This window comes from Homo sapiens, chromosome 7 (genome assembly GCF_000001405.40).
Source record: "Homo sapiens chromosome 7, GRCh38.p14 Primary Assembly".
Taxonomy (NCBI): Eukaryota; Metazoa; Chordata; class Mammalia; order Primates; family Hominidae; genus Homo; species Homo sapiens.
Window position 1 is genome coordinate 142,506,780 of NC_000007.14, and position 19,809 is coordinate 142,526,588.

Sequence of the window (19,809 nt, forward strand, 5' to 3'; positions counted from 1 at the left end):
TGCGTTGAGCTGAAGGTGCTCAGCTGGGTTTGTCAGGAGTCCCATCTGTCAGTGAATTGACAAGAAACAGAGCAAAACGACTCCTGCAATGTTGAGAAGCCTGCACCTAGGATCTGGAAACTTGATAACAGAGAAAACCAATATAGACAAAGGATTTTAAACAGGATTATGGTCAATTAAGCAAATTAGAAAAGGATACTTGAAGGAGTATTTGGGATACAGGAATCAAAAACACCAGGAAGACATGAGAAGTTTCCCTAAGAGTCTAGACTACAGCACTGTGTAGATAACTAACATCAGAATATTAATTATATTATTGAAGAATTAAAATTTACATTGAATTACAAACTCTTTACAAAAGGTCATGAAAATCTTGTAGACTTGTTTCAATTCAGACAAATGTGTTCTTCTCATTCTCAGCTGTTCACTGGTGCATTTATCTTGAATTTGACCATCTGGGGAATGGGCGTGGCCTCTCCTGACTGGAAGGCTCTGGGGCCCAGGCAGGGAGAATGATGTCTCAGAATGACTCCCTTGAGAGTCCTGTTCCCCTTTTATCAATGCACAGACCCAGAAGACCCCTCCGTCCTGCAGCCCCTGCCATGAGCCTCGGGCTCCTGTGCTGTGCGGCCTTTTCTCTCCTGTGGGCAGGTGGGTCCTGGGCAGGGCCCTTGCGTGGATTTCAAGGCCCATCCCCTTTCCACTGGGGCTGCAGCATCAGTTTTGTTCTTCTCTGCAGGTCCCGTGAATGCTGGTGTCACTCAGACCCCAAAATTCCACATCCTGAAGACAGGACAGAGCATGACACTGCAGTGTGCCCAGGATATGAACCATGGATACATGTCCTGGTATCGACAAGACCCAGGCATGGGGCTGAGACTGATTTACTACTCAGCTGCTGCTGGTACTACTGACAAAGAAGTCCCCAATGGCTACAATGTCTCTAGATTAAACACAGAGGATTTCCCACTCAGGCTGGTGTCGGCTGCTCCCTCCCAGACATCTGTGTACTTGTGTGCCAGCAGTTACTCCACAGCGCTACAAGGTTGTCTCCTCTCTGCACATAAAGGCAGGGAGGCTCTGCCCTCCACCCCGACCTGAGACTCAGGGATGACCTGGGCAGAGTATTCTGCAACGGGAACCTTGGAACCCGAAGTGGCCCCAAGTGGCCCAGACAGTATGAGCCTCGCTCTGTGCCAGGTGCCTCTGTAGGCATCTCAGCCAGGCCTGGACTGGTCCCAGGTCCTCATATGTCTCCTTTGTTGCTCTCTCCTACAAGCTCTACTTTTGGGGTTGGGGCCAGGGCTTCCCCAGCTCCTACTTTTCTACTCATCATCCTGAGTCCAAGGCCCCCAGGATGAAACAGGATTTGTATTTCAGATCCATCTAGACTCCTGTCTCTCCCTGGTGACCATGTTGCTTCCTCTCTAGGGTTTCCCCCAGCCCCCACCCTCCTGTGGCCCACCTTTCCCACCTCCGCAGTCATCCTCCACCCCCCACTTCCCTGCCCCTCTCTACTGCAGCCATGAGGGGAGCACCTCTCTGTGACTCCTTCCTTCCCGTCACAGAGACTTCAAAGGCCATTTTCTTTGCCCTGGGCCAGAGCCTTCCTTTCTCTAGTGGCCAGCTCCTTCCTGTGCTTCAGATCTCAGTATGATCAGCCCCTCCTGCGGGAAGCACTCCCTCCCCTCCCAGGTAAGATCAACTTTCCTCTCATAAGCTCTCAATGAATCATATGTCTGTTAGCAACCTTTAGCACAGTTGGGCTTTCTCAGATGCTTGTCTGATTATTTTTGTGCTCCACCCAATTTTTTTTTTTTTAAGACACAGTCTCACTCCGTCACCAGGCTGGAGTGCAGTGGCATGATCTCTGCTCACTGCAACCTCTGATACTCTGATTCAAGTGATTCTCCTGCCTCAGCCTCCCGAGTAGCTGGGATTACAGACATGTGCCACCACGCCCAGCTAATTCTTGTTTGTATTTTTAGTAGAGATGGGGTTTTACCATGTTGGCCAGGATGGTCTCGATCTCCTGGCCTCATGATCTGCCCTTCTCGGCCTCCCAAAGTGTGGGGATACAGGCGTTAGCCAGCACGCCTGGCCTCTCCACCCAATTTTTAAGCCCATGGGAGCTAAGACTGTGCCTGCTGTATTTACCAACATCGGTGCCTGGCATGTGGGGAGACCCATTTCACAGAGAATAGATGAGTGAATGACAGGCTGAGTGAGTGATGAGTGGGTGGACGAACAAATAGCAGGAACACGCTACATCTACTGTAACCTGCCAGAGATCTAGCATTAAGTACAAGAAAGCCCACCTCTTTGATTGCTGGGCTCAGGTCGGTCTTGGAAATTGATGGGGAATCACTATCATGGCGGCCACACCTGGTTCAAGGCTTCCTCTTGTGGCTGCAGCACCTGACCTCCTCCAGGTCTCTGTGCTCTCCTTCAGGATCTTTCCCCACAACAAATCTAGACAGATCAGAGATCCACTTCAAGAATTCCATCCTTAAAGGTTGTTCCTTGAAACCACTTCTGGTAAGAAAATCTCCATTAGGTTTGCATCAATAAAACAGAGCCACTACAGGTTTGTGAGTGTAAAAGATTTATGATCAGAATTAGACTTTATGCATATGTGGGAGGAGCTGAGGAAGACAAGGTCTTGAGGAGAGAAGTCAGAAGGTGAGGGAGCCAGTCAGTAGCCAGGGCTCCTGGAGCTCGGGCAGGACAGGCTGGAGTGGCAGGGACATGAGAGGATCAGAGCATGCCAGGCCATGCAGTGGGACCTTGAGCCGGGAGCACAGGAAAAGGCCGAGGAAACCTGCTTCTGGGGAAGCTGTTCCCTCTGTGTGGGGGCCATGCCTGCGGGTATAGTGCCAAACACTGGGGGCAGCCTGGCTGCTGTTGGGCAGCATTTGGCAAGATGAACTGGACACAGGGTGCAGAAGGAACAGGACTTCCTAGGTCTGTTGGATGCCTCTGTATCTGCTGGTCACTGACTCTCACTCTCTCACCACAATGACCTGCCAATTGTTATAGTGACTGTTTTGTATCTGTCTTCTAAATGTTACAAAATGTATCCTTGACCATCTCTAACCCAGAATGATAAATGGCATTCTGGGAAAGTCAGACTCTTACATTTGCAAAGTTGACTTAACACAATCCAGCACAGTATGGATTCTCCCAGATTAAGGCATCAGATCACACAACTGACTCAACCTGCCACGGTCCGTGGACTCCTCTCCGGGGGACACCTGTGCTGCCCAAGTGAATGTGGACACAATTTGTATGTAGATGTTCCAGACACTGGCTACTAAATTTTCTTTTAATCCTGTGCCTGAAATCTCGCTCCACCCAGAGGCAGGGCTCTGCCTCCTGCTTCTGTCTCCTTCCTGAGCTTCTATCCTGATGGAGTTGGATGGACATCAGACGCCTGGTCAGAGTGCAGTGACCTGTGGAGACAGTAGGAGGGAAGCTCACATCTTGCTGCCTTCCTCCATCCAGTTCTTTTATAACCAAAGCAAGTGTTCTGGTCTCCCTTTTGACTGTGCAGTATGAGAAATGTGCTTCATGAATTTGTAGCTGATCAGCTCAATGATTTGATGGCCAACCTAAAGTGAAATCCTCAGATCTGCAGAAATTGCCCTGCATTTCTGTGAAGATGGCAAGAATACAGTGTGCTAGAGTTGCCTTCTCTCCAAGTAGAGACCTGGCCCCCAAACAGGATGGAGCAGAGGGGGCCAAAGAGCCCAAAACATGTCTCAGATTGTTGAAAGGCAATTTCCCAGGACAATCCTACTGATGACATTTCATCCCTTGTATTACACACTTGGCCACCCTTCCCCCCAGATCAGCTGAGTACCCAGGATATCACACATCCCAGCATCTTCTAACGAGGAAAAATACTTCACGTACCAGCCTCCTTCCTGCACCACATTGACTAACCCTGGAAACTTAGCCTTTCCAGAAAAAAGCTCTGTCTTCTCTTGGCCCAGTCTAGCCTGGTAGGTTTAATTCATGATTTATGTGACCTTTTAATTTACTCAAAGGAGAACGTATGATTTCAGGGTAAAGAATATTCATTTTATTTTTATAAGTTGGACCTAAACAGTAAACTGAGTACTTTTCTTCCATCAGCGTCTTAAATTAGACAACGGTAAAACAAATCTTTGATGCTAGAACTTCAGATCCTAGTGTTTTTCACATGGAAGTTCCCAGTTACCCAGTCTAGGGCATGGAATAGATGAGCATTAATAAGTCACTGTATGCCTGAGATGGTTTTCTATGGGCATCTTTTCTGAATTACGGTTAACAAGGGTGGGAAATGATCCCAGAAGAAAGGCATGAGGGCAGTTCTTGAGGGAACCCATGTGATGGGACAGTCTCATTGGGCACGTGTGACTGGGGGAATGGAGGAAGCTGGGGCATGATTGGGATGGCACAGGGGACCCTGACTTGCGGGAAAGACAATGAGCTCAACCCTTTGTGCCCTATGTTAGGGGCGCTGTTGTTGCATCCTACAGGACATGCCCAGCAGGCAGGGGAGCGGCTGTAGGATGAGAAGATGAACTCAGAGATGCAGTGTGAGGTCTCCAGGCACAGACGGCTCTGGAGCACAAACCAATGAGCCATGAATTGATGTTGTTAAAACGGAGGTTATAAATATTTAAAGTGTCACCCAAGTGTGTTCTAATAGAAATGCTGTGACCCTGAGGTCCTGAGGATTGAGAGAGGAAGTGATGTCACTGTGGGAACTGCCCTGTGGAGACAAGGACATCCCTCATCCTCCGCTCCTGCTCACAGTGACACTGATCTGGTAAAGCCCCCATCCTGGTCTGACACTGTCATGGGTACCAGTCTCCTATGCTGGGTGGTCCTGGGTTTCCTAGGGACAGGTGAGTCCTCAAAACACAAAGTAGTTTCATATTTTTTCTGTATGTAGGTGTGTGTGTGTATGCATGTGTGTCTGTGTGTGTGTGTGTGTGTGTGTGTGTGTGTGAGATGACTACAAATGTTTTCCTTATTCTGTTGCCAGATTCTGTTTCCACAGATCACACAGGTGCTGGAGTCTCCCAGTCTCCCAGGTACAAAGTCACAAAGAGGGGACAGGATGTAACTCTCAGGTGTGATCCAATTTCGAGTCATGCAACCCTTTATTGGTATCAACAGGCCCTGGGGCAGGGCCCAGAGTTTCTGACTTACTTCAATTATGAAGCTCAACCAGACAAATCAGGGCTGCCCAGTGATCGGTTCTCTGCAGAGAGGCCTGAGGGATCCATCTCCACTCTGACGATTCAGCGCACAGAGCAGCGGGACTCAGCCATGTATCGCTGTGCCAGCAGCTTAGCCACAGCATGGCACAGTCGCCTCCTTCCTGTTCACAAACCTCATCCTTCTCTCTCTTTGCAGCTCCCAGAGATCATTAACAGAGGCCTCTCTTTGCTCCTCACTTTTCCTGGGAAAGAGGTAGATTTGGACCTCGGTTGTCCTTTGGGTGGAAAGAGACCACAGATTCATTCCTGAAACACAGTGACTGCAAATGTAAGTGGTGAAAACAATCACGTCCCACTGCACTCTAGGAGGGCTCGGAGCCAGCTCACTGCTCCAAACAAGGAGTGGGTGTCTTAGCCTTGGCCTTCAGAGCAGACATGCATCTTCTATAGGTCTTGGAGGCTGCTGTGTTGCCCACATACATGAGGTTGTCATAGGCAGGAAACATGCCTCTTCTTCATATGTTGGGGCATCTGGAAGGTCTGAGGCTACATCCCCGAGAAGATCTTTCTTCTGAAGCCTCTTCTATCCCTGTCACCTTGGAAGTTTTCTGCCACAAAATATCAAACCTCTCTTCCTGTTTGAAGTAAAGGTCTTTGCAAATTTGTGGTCCTTACTTGATAAATACAATCATGGTAACAATAACACTTCATTTCTTCTGCCTACTTTAAGCCAAGAGTATCCTTTATTTTATTTCCATTTGCCATTGCTGCTGTCCTGATAGACAGAAGCATGCATCACCACCGCTGCCACTTCACCTTGATTCACTCAGGAAATCTGATTTTCAGACTCTGAGTGTTTTGATTGTTGTCCAACTCATTTGATTTGAAATAATTCTCCCAAGGCCTTTAACTCAAAAAGTGTTTTATTTATAATATTGAATCTATTCCTTTTTATTATATTTTTTCATAATATATAGTGTTATATAGCACTTGTTAGAAATAGAAGTACAATGATTATATTGCAATAGAATCTTCCATCTGTCTGTGGGTGATGCTGCAGTTTGTATCTATGAAATGGAATGCACTGGTCAGAGCTGATGTGATTATGCATTATGGGTTTCGGGGAGTCCTCAGCGACAGACCACTTCTCCAAGTCTGGGACTCAGTGTCCCAGATGCAACCCTGATAGAGGTGCCCTGAATCTTTCATAGCTAGGAGGGGCATCATAGTCCTTCCAAATTCACTGATCAGAAATTATGGTGTGGTACAGACACCAAATTTCTTTCCCCAGAGAATGATGGTCACTGGCAGGGAATTGCTCTTGACCCATTTTTTCTTGTGTCGTCATCAAATGACTCCTTGCTCAGCCGCCCTGTGTCTTCTGGGACTGAGTAAGGCCAGCACACAGATGGGAATTCCCTGTCTTCTGAGACCTTCTAACTGCTGCCACTTTCCTCCATGTGACTGCTGAGACAACTGGTCCTAACAGTGGACAAGCTCTGACACTGAGGCTGAACAGACCACAGTCCACTGTTGTAAATGGTGCTGCAAGAACATGTAACAAAAGTGAGCAGGGCTTCCAATTTATAGAGAGAATGAACATGCAAGAGGAGCAAAGGGTAGATGGTACTAACGAACAAATAGGGAGGAATGTGGTTTCTGTTCTAATGAAATCATTCTGTTGTCTTAAGTTAAGCAGGAGAAACATTTCATTGCAATTACTTCAAGTCAAAGGCTAGCGGCTCCCCAACCAGCCAGCATAACTCTTTGCTCTGTGATCTCAGCAGCTTCAGAGGACTCAGAAATCCTTTCTCTGCACAAACATCCCGTTGTCCATTCCAAGACCCAGGATCACACACTCTGATCTTATCATGAAAATAATGAGGTATGCTATAGTTGCTGTGGCCTCATTTTAGTATGTTTAGTAGGAAGCATTGAAGAAGTTTGAAGCTTTTCTCTTTAGTCTATGGCTTGTATGACTCAAAAGAAGTAAATAGGCATACTTTTCCCAGCTCCCTGTTCAGTGAAGCCATGCTGGGAGCTTGAAATCTGCCATGGTGGGTATGTTGGTACAACAGAAATTAGGAAATGCTACCAGCCATGCCCCCACCTTCACAGACACACAGTTTATCAGCACATTACTGGGGTATTTTCTGATGTCCCTCTTATGCCATTTCTGAGCTAGGCCAATATAGCTCAGAATTTATTTCCCCACTACTCTTGTTCTTAGAACCCATCACCTAAGGGGCCGTCAATTGTTCCTATTTCCATTCAACTCCCAAATTCTCTTGCACTGTAGCTCTGTGTTTCCTTCAAGAATGCCAGTCTGGAACATGACAACTATTTTGAATGTACCTAAAGGTATCACTGAACCAGTTCATTATTTACAAATTATCTTTCCTCACATGGAATATTCAGATGCTGGAGTCATTGGGAACAGAGATGGCCAAGCAGCAACTCTGGGTTGTGAACCACATAGAGCCCCGCTATTCTTCTATGTCACTGACAGACCCTGAAACAAGGACTATTTTGCTTTAGAAACTAAGCAGCTCCACACCAGTCAGGAATGACTCTGCTTTTACTTTAGGCTGAGAGATCAGAAGGATCACATCCTCAGTATTCTCCTCTCCTGGACTGAGTGTGGCCACTCTCCATCTCAGTCCCTGGAAGTTGTCCAGAGTTCCCTGAGAATCCCTGCTCTGGGGCAGAATCACCAAGGCTCATCCTCACCAGCTCCCCACAGGCTCCAGCAGGGCTTTCCTGCCAGGTGTAGGGCACAGGAATGGCTCTGTCTGTCTCTCAGGTAGAGGGAGGCCAAACAGTGATGTTTGTATAAGAGGGACTGGGTTTCTGTGTCTCCATTAAAGTATTTGACAATATTTTCTTTGTTTTTTTTTTTTTTTTGGTTTATTTTTCCATCTCGCCAATGAGGAGAGCAATCCCTTGGTAGTTATATTGTTTTTGGCACTTGGGAAGGTTTTTGTGGTTAAGTCACATTAAGAAATTGTGCCTTTTTTTCCTGTTCAGCTGTAACCCAAGGCAGTGAAAGAAACAGCAATAATTTTGAAAGCAGTTACTTGTGTATCTTATGATAAAGGTGTTAAGTTTCATTGCCCACATCTAACTTTCAGTCTAGTGGAAATGAAAAGGCACAGTTAGGGGGCATGTGAGCATGCCATGAGAGAGGTCAATGCCAATTGAGAAGTCTGTGCCAATCCCCAGTACTGTGGGATTGAAGGGGAGGGAGAGATGACCTCTCCTTCAGACCATGGTCAACAAGGAAGGAGAGGGAGTTCATCCATGGGAACCTGAAAAGCAGCAAATCCCAGGGGCATCTAACTTCAGGTGCAGGAGCAAATCCTTGGAGAGGAAAATGGTCCAGTTCAGCTGTCACGGGAGACAGGAGAAAGCAAAGTCATCTAATCCACAGTCCCCTGGCTGATTTGCTTCCTTATGATACTATTTTGCATCAGCGTGTCCTCATCTCCCGCTGCTCCTCTGCCTCTTCCAGTGTCATCTCTTCCCTGTTTGCTGCTCAGATCAGTGGATGTGCATTGTACAAGGTGATCATTTCCTATAGCAGTCCCTTTGCTACTCTTAGTTATATCCATCCTTATTTTCTGCATTAGGTACTGCTCCCTCCACCATTGCTTATTGTCTTGTAACAGGTCTCGTTTTATATATTTCAATTTTACTTTTTATTAATAGACATTTGACTTCATCTTTTGCTGATCTATACTTTTGGGGTAACATTGTCATTTTTGGAGGATGTTTTTGTTTATCTTTAGTGATTCAGATTAAATAATCTCTTTATACTTCAACGTCTGTGTCTTCTTACTATTTAAAACCAAATATTATTTCCTTTCATTCCTCTCATTCTGTTCCTCTTTCTTTAGATGGTAGTTTTAAGGGAGAAAAAGTTTGGCTATAACTGAAGCTATGTGATAAGAGTTATTCAGAATGAGGGTGGGATATCAAGATTGGTAACTCAAAGCAATAATTAGGGTTAGAACTAATGTAGGACTTAGGGTTTAGGGAAGCTGCTCATAAAACCTGCGGGATGGCACCTCTGGAATATTCTGGCAGCTCACTCTGCAGACACTTCCCAGCATTCCTTGGGCCATTACAGAATTAAACAATGATGAAGCTTCACTTATTGGCCACAAGATGGCAGTGTGGTCCACTGCGATGTAAAGGGCTCTGGGCAGTCTGGGGGAGCAGCCTAGGAGGGAAAAGGTTAAGAAAAATTAGGGTTTGTATTCAATATTATGCAGATGTTGCAGGAGTTTTCAGTTATTGCTAGGCTACCTACAGCTATGCAAGAGGCAGGAAGTCCCTCTAATCTTTAATCAGATCTACAGTTGAAGAATTTTGGCCAGGCAGCCTTGGTGTCGGGGCATGTGCAGACAGAGGAGCAACTGCCTCAGAGGAAAAGGGAAAAGTGAGAGGCAGGCTGTGCCCTGAGCCCAGTGGGTCTCTGCTGCACCTCATCTTCCCTGCAGGTCTGGCCAGGCAACAGCTTTAACCTGCTTGAGTGATCTGGGATTCTCCAAGTTCATAAGTCTTACTGATAACATCAACTTGGCTGAGGTTCCATTGGAAATCAAGCACATGTTCTCTGGAGGACAAAAAGTATTGACAAAAATTTCTGAAACACCTCAGTAAACAAACTATTGAAGGAAAATATTAGTAGATGCACCAAACTGTGCCGTTAGAGATGAAGATAATAGACTAGTAGAATTTTACAAAGGAGACTATAAATAAGTCTCTACTAAGTATTTGTGGGCATCAAGCAGTGTCTGAGTCCTCTCAGGGTAGATTAAGGAAGGAATTCAGCTATTATCATGACTTTGGCTTGGATGAAAATCCATGAAGTCCTCAATTGATTTTCTTGTAAAATATTACAGAATAATATTGAGCAAACATTTTATTTTTCTCCAGCCTGTATCCCTCTTTAGCACTAACAGGTAAAGCAGACACCTAGAGGCACGGTTTCTTTAGTTGGGATCCATTAACTGTAGGACTGGGAGGTCCATAGCTGGGCTTCACAGGGAGTTCAAACCCCACGTGCAGGGAACTCCGTGTGTCTGTGCTGTGCCCAACTCCCGTCTGTGAGGCTGAAAAGGGGGAGTGCCGGGTCTCCCAGTACCCCACTCACAAAGTGGGGAGCAGGCTGCTTGCTGGGCAAAAAAATCAATTCAAAAATTGGCCAATCTGTTCAAAGCCAAAATGAAAGGAAAGTCTGAATTGTGAGACTGATGAATGCCCAATTTCCCAAGTTATGAAATTTGTAGCAGCTCATGGTTCTCAGAATGATTTCAATAGCATATGAAGATATTGTAAAAAGCTTTTGTTTGTCTACAGCTTTCCTTGATTTTGATCCTAGTTGTTTTTCGGCCCACTCATCAGTTGAGCTTATTTTGATGCCAAATTTCAATGTTGCCACTTCAGTCACCAAGCACTTCTCACATTCTCCATAACTTACACAGATATGTGTGTTCCTGTCTTTTCTTATTTTTGTGTGATTCATTTTTAAATTGGGCTGTGCAGAATACAAGCATACATTTGTAAGTGAATCCCATATTTTATGATTTAGCTGTTTACTTTTTAGTAATACTTTTTATTAAAGTATAATAGAGAGTAAAACAGAAATATTAATACAAGGACATCCTGGTACATTTTGACAAATGCATATGCCAGTGCAATAGTAACTGAAATGATTATAAAAAAAATTCTGTCATGCAGGAAAGTGTCGTCATGCTCCTTTCCAATCAATTTCTATCCCAGAGATAAAAATTGTATTTATTTATTTATTTAGAGACAAGAGTCTCACTCTGTCACCCAGGCTGGAGTGCAGTGGTGTGATCTCAGCTCACTGCAAGCTCTGCCTCCCCGGTTCACGCCACTCTCCTGCCTCAGCCTTTGGAGTAGATGGGACTATAGATGCTTGCCACCACACCCGGCTAATTGTTTGTATTTTTAGCAGAGACGGGGTTTCATCGTGTTAGTCAGGATGGTCTCGATCTCCTGACCTTGAAATCTGCCCGCCTCAGCCTCCCAAATTTTTGGGATTACAGGCATGAGCCACCGCGCCTGGCCAAAACTTTTCTTATTTTTATCACCACTGACTAGCTTGGTCTATTCTTGAACTCCATATAAATGGAATCATATAACATTTTATTGAGTTATTTTCCTCCAAAATTAGTATTTCTGAAGTTTATTCATATTGTTGTATCAGTAGGTCATTTTTTCTTATGACTAATATTCCATTGCATAACTATACCACAACTTGTTTATCCATGCTCCCGTTGATGGATATCCACATTACTCCTGTCTTCAACTATTATGAATACAGTTGTTGTGAACATTCTTGTGGAACTCTTTCTTGTGGACATATACATTCTTTTTTTTTATTTTATTTTAGGTATAAACTTAAGAGTGGAAATACTGACTTACAGTGTAGATGTGTGTGCTATGCTTGCGTGTCCTCACAAAAGCTCATGTTGAAATTTGTCATTGTAATGGTATTGGGAGGTGGGACAGCTATGACTAGGTCATGAGGGATCTGCCCTCAGAAAGAGATCAATGCCGTTATTGTGGGAGTGAATTAGTTGTCTTGGGAATGGTCTTCTGATAAAAAGTATAAATTCAGCCACTTTCTCTGTCTTGGGTGCTTGCTTCCCCTTCCTTCTGCCTTGGATAACAGCAGGAGGCCCTCAGCCGCTATGGCCCATTGATCTTGGACTTCCCAGTCTCCAGATCTATAAGCCAAATAAATGCCTTGTCTTTATAAATTACCCAGTCTGTGGTATTTCTCTATAGCAGTAGGAAATAAATGGAAAGAAAACATGGTGCTGAGAGTGACGCTGTTGCTGTAACAAGTACCTGAAAATGTAGAAACAGCTTTAGTTAATGGGAAATGGCTAATGGATAGAGGTTGGAAGAATTCAGAGAAGCAGACTAGCAAAAGCCTAGATTGCTGAAAACAGAGCATTAAGGGCATTTCTGGTGAAAGCTCAGGGGGAAATGAGGAACAAGGTATCAGAAATTGAAGTAAATGCCATCCTTCTCATAAGTAGCAAAAACCTTGGCAACATTGTGTCCTGTTCTAGGACTTTATGGAATATAAAATTATGAGCCATTAGCTAGGATATCTGCTGAAAGAAATATCTAAGCTGCAAAGCATTCAGGCCACTGTGTGACTACTTTTAGGCACCAGGCAATTTAACCCAGCAAGAAGGCAGCCAAGGGAATAGATTTTGCAAACCAGCACAGATGGTGACACTACCTCCCTCTGCTGTCCTGTCTCCCATAAGCCAAACTCACTCTGAAGTTAGAGAAAAGAGGAGACAGTTAACATGATACACTGGAGTCAGCCTGTGAAGGCAGGGTGGATCTGGAGGGATTAACATAAACTTTCCAGAGCACTACATATAGGATGGCCTTGAGGGTGTTGAGTCCAAAGCTGGCTAGGTCTGTGGTGTGAGCTGATAAGGCCCTAGATTTATTTCTGGGGAATCTGCACTCTTAATAATTTACAGACAACACAGGTCTGCTTTGGATCTGATCAGATGGACTAAATCTTGGGGCCTCTGTACCGCTGGCCACTCAGGAAATGGGTTGGGAATGTTGCCTGGGACAGGAAAATATAGTAAGAAACCTTGGTGTGAATCTAGCTTCAGAAAGATGATGTGAGGAGAGCAAGGAAGAGCTGGAAACTGATGGTTTAATCACAGGCTCCTCACCATCTGCTGATAGGCAGGTGTGCGAGCTCCAGCATGGAGCACCGCAGCACTAGGTCAGAGGAGGGTGATAGGGTGATGGGGCAGCCTGTGAGCTGGGGCAGTTAGGCAGAGGAGCAACTGTATCACCACAGAAGCTTCTGCCTTCACCCATCCCTCCAGCTCGGCAGGACAGGTAGAGAGTCCAGTGTCCGTGGAGCACTAGACCTAAGGAAGGCTGCATAGGGAAGACACAAGACAGTGACATCACAGCATACCCCTCCCATCAGGAAAATCAAGGCCCAGAACTCACTCAGCTCTTTCCCAGGAGGACCAAGCCCTGAATCAGGTGCAGTGCTGCCTGCCCCACTGTGCCATGGGCCCCGGGCTCCTCTGCTGGGTGCTGCTTTGTCCCCTAGGAGAAGGTGAGTCCCGGGCACAGGACAGCTGCTCCATTCTCAGCTTTCCCACCCCTGTGTCCTCCACTTTACCTTGGGGAGGACCTCCAGGCTGTCTCCAGTGCTCATTATACATCTGCTTTTCCCACAGGCCCAGTGGACGCTGGAGTCACCCAAAGTCCCACACACCTGATCAAAACGAGAGGACAGCACGTGACTCTGAGATGCTCTCCTATCTCTGGGCACACCAGTGTGTCCTCGTACCAACAGGCCCTGGGTCAGGGGCCCCAGTTTATCTTTCAGTATTATGAGAAAGAAGAGAGAGGAAGAGGAAACTTCCCTGATCAATTCTCAGGTCACCAGTTCCCTAACTATAGCTCTGAGCTGAATGTGAACGCCTTGTTGCTAGGGGACTCGGCCCTCTATCTCTGTGCCAGCAGCTTGGCACAGCCCAGCAGAGTCACTGACATTCTGTATATAAACTTCCGCCTTAGCTTTGACTTGAGAACTGCAGGCCCCACCCAGGTTTCACTCCTTCAAGGGAAGCTTTTAGTTGTTTGGAAGGCATGTCTTGTGTCCTACTGAGGGCAGACCTTTCCCAACCAATAGAGCCCAGGTTTCCTGTGCCCTGAGTGTGCCTGCTTCTGTGCTGCAACTTCTTGTAGTTTGTCACTTCCTGGATAACTTCAGTAGAAGAGTGACTGTTGAGCCCCAGATACGTGCTAGATTCTTCGTATTTGTTACATAGCTTAAGGGCTTTCCACACTCTTGCACATCAAACATTTCTATTCTTCCTTTATAGATAGAAGGCTCAGGGACATTGAGTCATTTTCCCCAGTGTCTCTTGGCTTGTAAGGATCAGAAGTAGGAAACAAACTAGTCCATCCATTTTCCACCTACCCCCCTGCTCCATCATCACCTTCTGCATCCTGGTCAGTAAGTCAGAGCCCTCGCACTGCCCTCTAGTGACCAGCAGGGCTGCAGTAGACGCTCAGATGCCTTCAGGGGTCATTACTATGGCCTCTTCATTAGCAACTTTGAGGAATGTTAAATTTAACACTTTTTAAAAATCATTTATATGCATTCCCTTTGTCTTTCCCCAGTCTGCAGCTTATGTTTTCACTTTTATGGTGTTTTTTTGATGCACAAGAGTTTAATTTAATGCAACAAAAACTAAAATCAATTTTGTTTGTGTGTAGACAAAAACCGCTTTCTTATATAAATGTCTAAGCGTAGTTTTATCAATTTATTCTAGTAAAATTTAAGCTTGGATTTTCACCACTAAGAATAAATGTACCTGAAGTATATCTTATGTAAGAAATAAGATAGAGACCTAGGAATGGGAGGGAAGGACATATGTTCAGTGAAGAAGTAATAGCCTGTCAAAGAGAGCCCTAAAGTAGACCCCCAGAGCTGATGGTGGAGAGGTAAGTGGAGGGCAAATGATCATGAACCTTGTCCGTTTGTTACCTTGTAGAAGAAAGGCAGCCAGGAGTGGAGACCACATGGGTGAAGGTTTATGACTTGACTGTAGGTTGAAGGTGGCAGCAGGTAGAGGGAGGACTAGCAGGCAGAGGGCAGAGTCACTGGCTGGCAGGGGCAGTGGCATCATCAGTTGACTCTACTGACATCCAGGAATTATGTTCCCAATGCGCAAGTTGAAAAACTCCCCACAATTTGCCTATTATTCCTTGACCCTGCCATGACCACCAGACTCCTCAATGGTTTGGCCGTCTGCCCCCTGAGGGCAGGTGAGTCCCCTAAAGCCTTTTCCTTGGCTCACCACATCCCAGCCTAAGCCTTTACCTCAAGTCTACATTATTGGGGTCCCTCTTTGGGCACTCAACTTCCTTCTATCATAGACTTCACAGAAGCTGGGACAACCAGATCCCAAGATACCAGAGAACAAAGGCAGGACGTGAAGTGACATGGAGATGCCTGAGACTGCCATCCATGACTACATGTGTAGGTGTTAATAGGAGCCAAGGCTGGTGCACAGCTGATCCGTCCCAGCACACACTATACAGAATCCCTGAGGGTCTGTGACTTTTTCTCAAAGCCAAATATGTGGCCTTGGTGTCAGACAGCCTCTCCCAGACCTCTGTGCCCCCTTGCACCAGCTTTCACCCCACAGCCACCTTCCTCTGCACATAATGCTCAGTGGAAAATATAGATGGCCTTGTCTTCACGAGACCGTGATCCAGGCAGTGGAAAACATTGTCCCATAGGAGTCTCCCAACACTGCCCAGGCTGGGGCCCTCAGATTTCTGAGCAGCCTGTGCATGGGAAACTCTGCCCTGTGCTGAGCTTCTCTTCCAGGCCAGTCTCAGCTGGACGATGGAACGCACATAACCATGCTTTGCGTGGATGCAGCCTCTCTTCCAGGCCCCTCCTGCAGCTCTGACCTCAGAAGTCCTCTTCCTCAGCTGCTCTCAGAAAGGAAAGTTCATTTGAAATTGTATATTTGCAGACAGCATTGACAATACAGGTCTATGTTCTTTTCCCTGTCAGCCTTCACAAGTCCATCTTCCCCACACCACACTCACGTCAGTCCTCAGCCTCTTCCACGTGATGTCTGCTCCCAGCTGTCTTCTCCCTTCCTCTGCACCCTCACCTTCATGTCAATCACAGATGCCTCAATTCAGGCCCTTCCTCATGGGTCATGCTCCTCCCACCAAAGCCCTTTCCACTCCATGCTGTATCCTCTGGCTCATCAGAAGTCTCTTCTCTTTTGTTCTTTCTCCAAATCTCAGTTTAACTACCACCATCTCTAGGGAGACACTCCTTCAACAGTTTTCCTAGGCTGCTCCTCCCTATTGTAAATGCTCACAGTTTATAATATGCATTAATATTCATAGACTTAGCACCATAGTCATTTCCCTGACTTTGTGTGACTGTTTGACACTTCTCTTGCATTCTCCACTGTAAAAGGCATCATTCTAGAAGTTGTGGATGTTTTGTTCCCCATTTTATTGTCAGTACCAACAGCGGTTCCAGGTGCCACTGACCAATCTTGAAAGAATAAAGAACAGATATTGAAAGGCCCTCTGAGTTCCCACATAGACTGTTCCAGAAGTCTGGACACATTAAATGGGAACTTCTATCCCTTCATATCCTAGGATCAAATGAGTCCTGGAAACAGAGGAGAAATCCCTGTCATGGATGAGTAACTGGATCCAAGCCTTTCTGCACTACTGAACTTCCTATCTGCCCATCGCCTTCCTGCCTAGTCTCCTCCTTCAATCTCCTTCCCTCACAGGTGTCCTGGATTTGGGAGTCTCACAGACACAGCGCACCTAATCACTCTGAGAGAGTGATCAGAAACATAATGTCAAACACTGGCATTAAAAGGTCATGGAGAAGAAAACAAATGCCTTCCCCATTCTCTTAGGCAGAGTGTTCCCAAGGCACAAATATCTCTTTGGGTGGCTTTGAGGCCATGCTACCTGACACACTGAGCTATATTATGGGTGTTCATTTCCATGAATTGGTGGGCAATGCTAGAGACACAGACCTGATGGTCACCAGCTTCCTCCAGCCCACACCTGATTTTGGTGCAGGGCACTGAACAGAGACCTTTGCTTATTCCCCTCCTTTGCCAGTTAGGAAAGGCTGATTGTGAGGCAGAGGCTCCACTTACAGAGCAGGGCTATGTGTTAGTCCCTGAAGAATTGTGAGAGCCATTCTGGGTGGAAATAATCAAATATACAATCACCAAGGATGGCCCACGGACAGACTGAAGCCCCAATTTTGCTGGAATGATTTGCATCTATGCTTTAAATACGAATGAAGTTTTATCTCTTTAGGCAATAAAGACCAAAAATAGACTAGCTATTTTAAATAACTGAACCTTAAACAAACCAAAGTCAGAACATCTTCCCTAGGGACAGCATTTTCTTCTACCCACTCACTAAAGCTGTATTTGAGAAAGCTGTGTGCTGTTGATAAACACTGGAATATCATTACAATTGACATCGTAATAATACTGCTACTTGGATCAGAAACAAAGAGCATTTCTAAAGCTTGAACAATGTAAAACTGGAAACGAGCTCTCACTGAGTTTGGAAATGCAGGCACTAGAGGGTGCTCATTTCTCTTCCTTTTCCAATCGGAGGCTATTCAAAGGCTGTTCTAGAACAAGGGGTGAGATCCTCCACTTCTCCGTGGTGATCAGGCTTTCAGAGGTAGAAGCCTTATTGGTTCATAATCAGCTGAACTGACCTCACCATCAAATGTATCGACCTTGATGCTCACCCTCCTCAGCAGTCAGAGACTGTGTTCACCAGGAGCTTATACGCTTTTACATAGTACACTTTATCCTCGGTTTATTCCAAAAAATGGGCATCTATAAGGGGTTCCATAAACAGAAGCTTTCTGTACTTTGCCCATTTAGACACTATAAAGTCAGACACCAGCTGAAAGGTGTAACTTAAAAGCTTGTATGTGGTGAAGATTTTTTAACAAATAATATATAATGAAAATGTCAATAACGCTCTCAAATCCAATCCCACCTTCCACTGGTCACCAATATTAACACTCTGGTGTGCTTCTTTTCACCTCTCTTTTCTGTGTTCATGCACACCTTTCTACCCAAGTACACCTACAGAAAATGGGTTCACCTGTACACTTTACCTGTCACATGCATACTCTTTTCTGTTAATATACCCTGGTCTTATTGTTCCAGATTGGTCAATATAGATCTAACTTGCTCCTATTAGCTGCTTCATATTGCATAATGAGGGTAGACAGGTACAATTGTGCTCTATTGTCTAATTCCTGAATTCTGCCAGATCTTTTCTAAAGAGACTGAATGGCCTCTTTAGGCTTCCAGGTTGTCCTCACCCCAGCCCCCAGTTGATGATTCCAGCATTTCCATCACTCATAGTCCTGGCAGGTTTGAGAGCTCCATTGGTTTCTCCTGCATGAGGAGACAGGGAGGGATAAAAGGATAGACCTTTATCAATCCTACCAGACACTACACAGTATCTCAGTTCGTCCTCCTAAAGCATTGAGGGGAATGTTAGTCTTGTTTTATAGATGAGTCTAGATGCAGCTAGAGTCCAGGAAGGTTAATGAATGGCCTTGCCCATGGTCTCAGAGCTAATAAATGTTGGAGGCAGATGAAGGGCAGTCAGCTTGCTTCCATGTGGAATTGATAGAGGGGTCACTGGAGTTTGACAGAGGGGAAGTCTAGAACCATCTGGGGTTGTTTTCAGATCAGACACCACGGGTAGTATGGTCTGTGTACCCTACAGCACTGTAGATACAAGCATCATGGTGTTGGCAATGGGGAGGTACTAGAGAGGTAAGTGGCTACTGGCCTGGAACCAGAAGATCATAGCTTTGAAAAAAATTATTCCCAGCACAAGATGTAGCAGAGACATCAATGTGGATAAACTAGGCCAGGGAGCTCTGTGAAGAGCTGTTGTTAAAATGAGGGAGGGAGAAGCAACTAAGTGGTCACTTCCTATACATTAAATGTAGAGGAAAACAATGTTAACTAGAATCCCATCTGATTTTAGTCAGTTTTTCGTTTAAGTAGTTGGAAGGTGGGATAATTTATTTTCAAGTTTAAGTAAGCATCTATACATCTCCTTTACCTTGTGAAGACTGGTGGCGAAGGGAAGAATGGCAAGGCCAATGGAGTCACAGTTTAATAAATAACTCAGAGTTCAAATGGAGACTCTCATGGGCCAGAAATTGGTAAATGTTCCTGCATTCTAAAATTAGGGGAATCTTATTTTCTTTGAATCAGCAGAGACGGAAGCACAGGCAGTGGGGAGGGACAGTTGGGAATACAGCAGAGTGGCCACAGAATGTCGAAGAAAAAGGACATGTAATGCCAAATTCTAAGCTGTGAAGCTGTGATGCAACCCTCCTCCTTCTCCTAATGGTTTTTTTAGGTCTCAGATGCGCACCTGAGGGAGTAATTTCTTTGGAAATGAAGAACAAATAGCTGTGTTAAATCTTAATAACAAGTCCACCTTACAAAGCACAACTGGAAATGGAAACAAGATTATTTCTAAGGCCTTTTCTACTCTAAGAGTCTTTAACTTGGTGGCAAGGTGAGAGGTGGGGGGTGGGGATGGTGTTGATCCACATGCGATGAGTACCGTGAGGCTCTACCATGAAGAATACATTTCTGAGTGTGAATCAGAGCCCTAAGAATAATGCCCTTTACGTTGTTTGGGACCAAACCCACCTCACCCATAATTAAGCAGCCATGGAAATGAGGAGAGCCAGAAGGAATCAAACCCTGCTGCTTGGTTCAGTCGACAGAAGGACCTGGTGGAAGGATGTTGGCTGGGTCTAAGAGAAGATGATGAGCTCAGAAAACAGACAAAGAGAAATCCCAGGCGAAAGCTTCTGAAACCCTGGAGGAATCACAAGTCAAATTTCTCCCAGAAGATGGTGGCAGTGACTCACCTTCAGGTACAACTGGCTGGTGCTACAGAGCTAAGATGGACTTAGTGTGTT

The 19,809-nt window shown here is 45.5% G+C and overlaps 3 gene segments (V, D, J or C) and 1 further gene, besides 9 other annotated features; all 4 read left to right on the top strand.

Moving 5' to 3' along the window:
* The window catches only part of TRB (T cell receptor beta locus), a 514,277-nt gene that overhangs the window by 207,769 nt on the left and 286,699 nt on the right, over window positions 1-19,809 (top strand).
* On the top strand, window positions 603-1,031 carry TRBV6-8 (T cell receptor beta variable 6-8). The segment is given in 2 exon segments: window positions 603-651; window positions 740-1,031. Coding segments are annotated over 2 exon segments (341 nt in total), but the record flags the coding sequence as incomplete, so codon positions are not given.
* Window positions 1,032-1,038: a recombination feature (RSS_heptamer).
* Window positions 1,039-1,061: a recombination feature (RSS_spacer).
* Window positions 1,062-1,070: a recombination feature (RSS_nonamer).
* On the top strand, window positions 4,847-5,348 carry TRBV7-7 (T cell receptor beta variable 7-7). The segment is given in 2 exon segments: window positions 4,847-4,895; window positions 5,051-5,348. Coding segments are annotated over 2 exon segments (347 nt in total), but the record flags the coding sequence as incomplete, so codon positions are not given.
* Window positions 5,349-5,355: a recombination feature (RSS_heptamer).
* Window positions 5,356-5,378: a recombination feature (RSS_spacer).
* Window positions 5,379-5,387: a recombination feature (RSS_nonamer).
* On the top strand, window positions 13,311-13,777 carry TRBV5-7 (T cell receptor beta variable 5-7 (non-functional)). The segment is given in 2 exon segments: window positions 13,311-13,359; window positions 13,484-13,777. Coding segments are annotated over 2 exon segments (343 nt in total), but the record flags the coding sequence as incomplete, so codon positions are not given.
* Window positions 13,778-13,784: a recombination feature (RSS_heptamer).
* Window positions 13,785-13,807: a recombination feature (RSS_spacer).
* Window positions 13,808-13,816: a recombination feature (RSS_nonamer).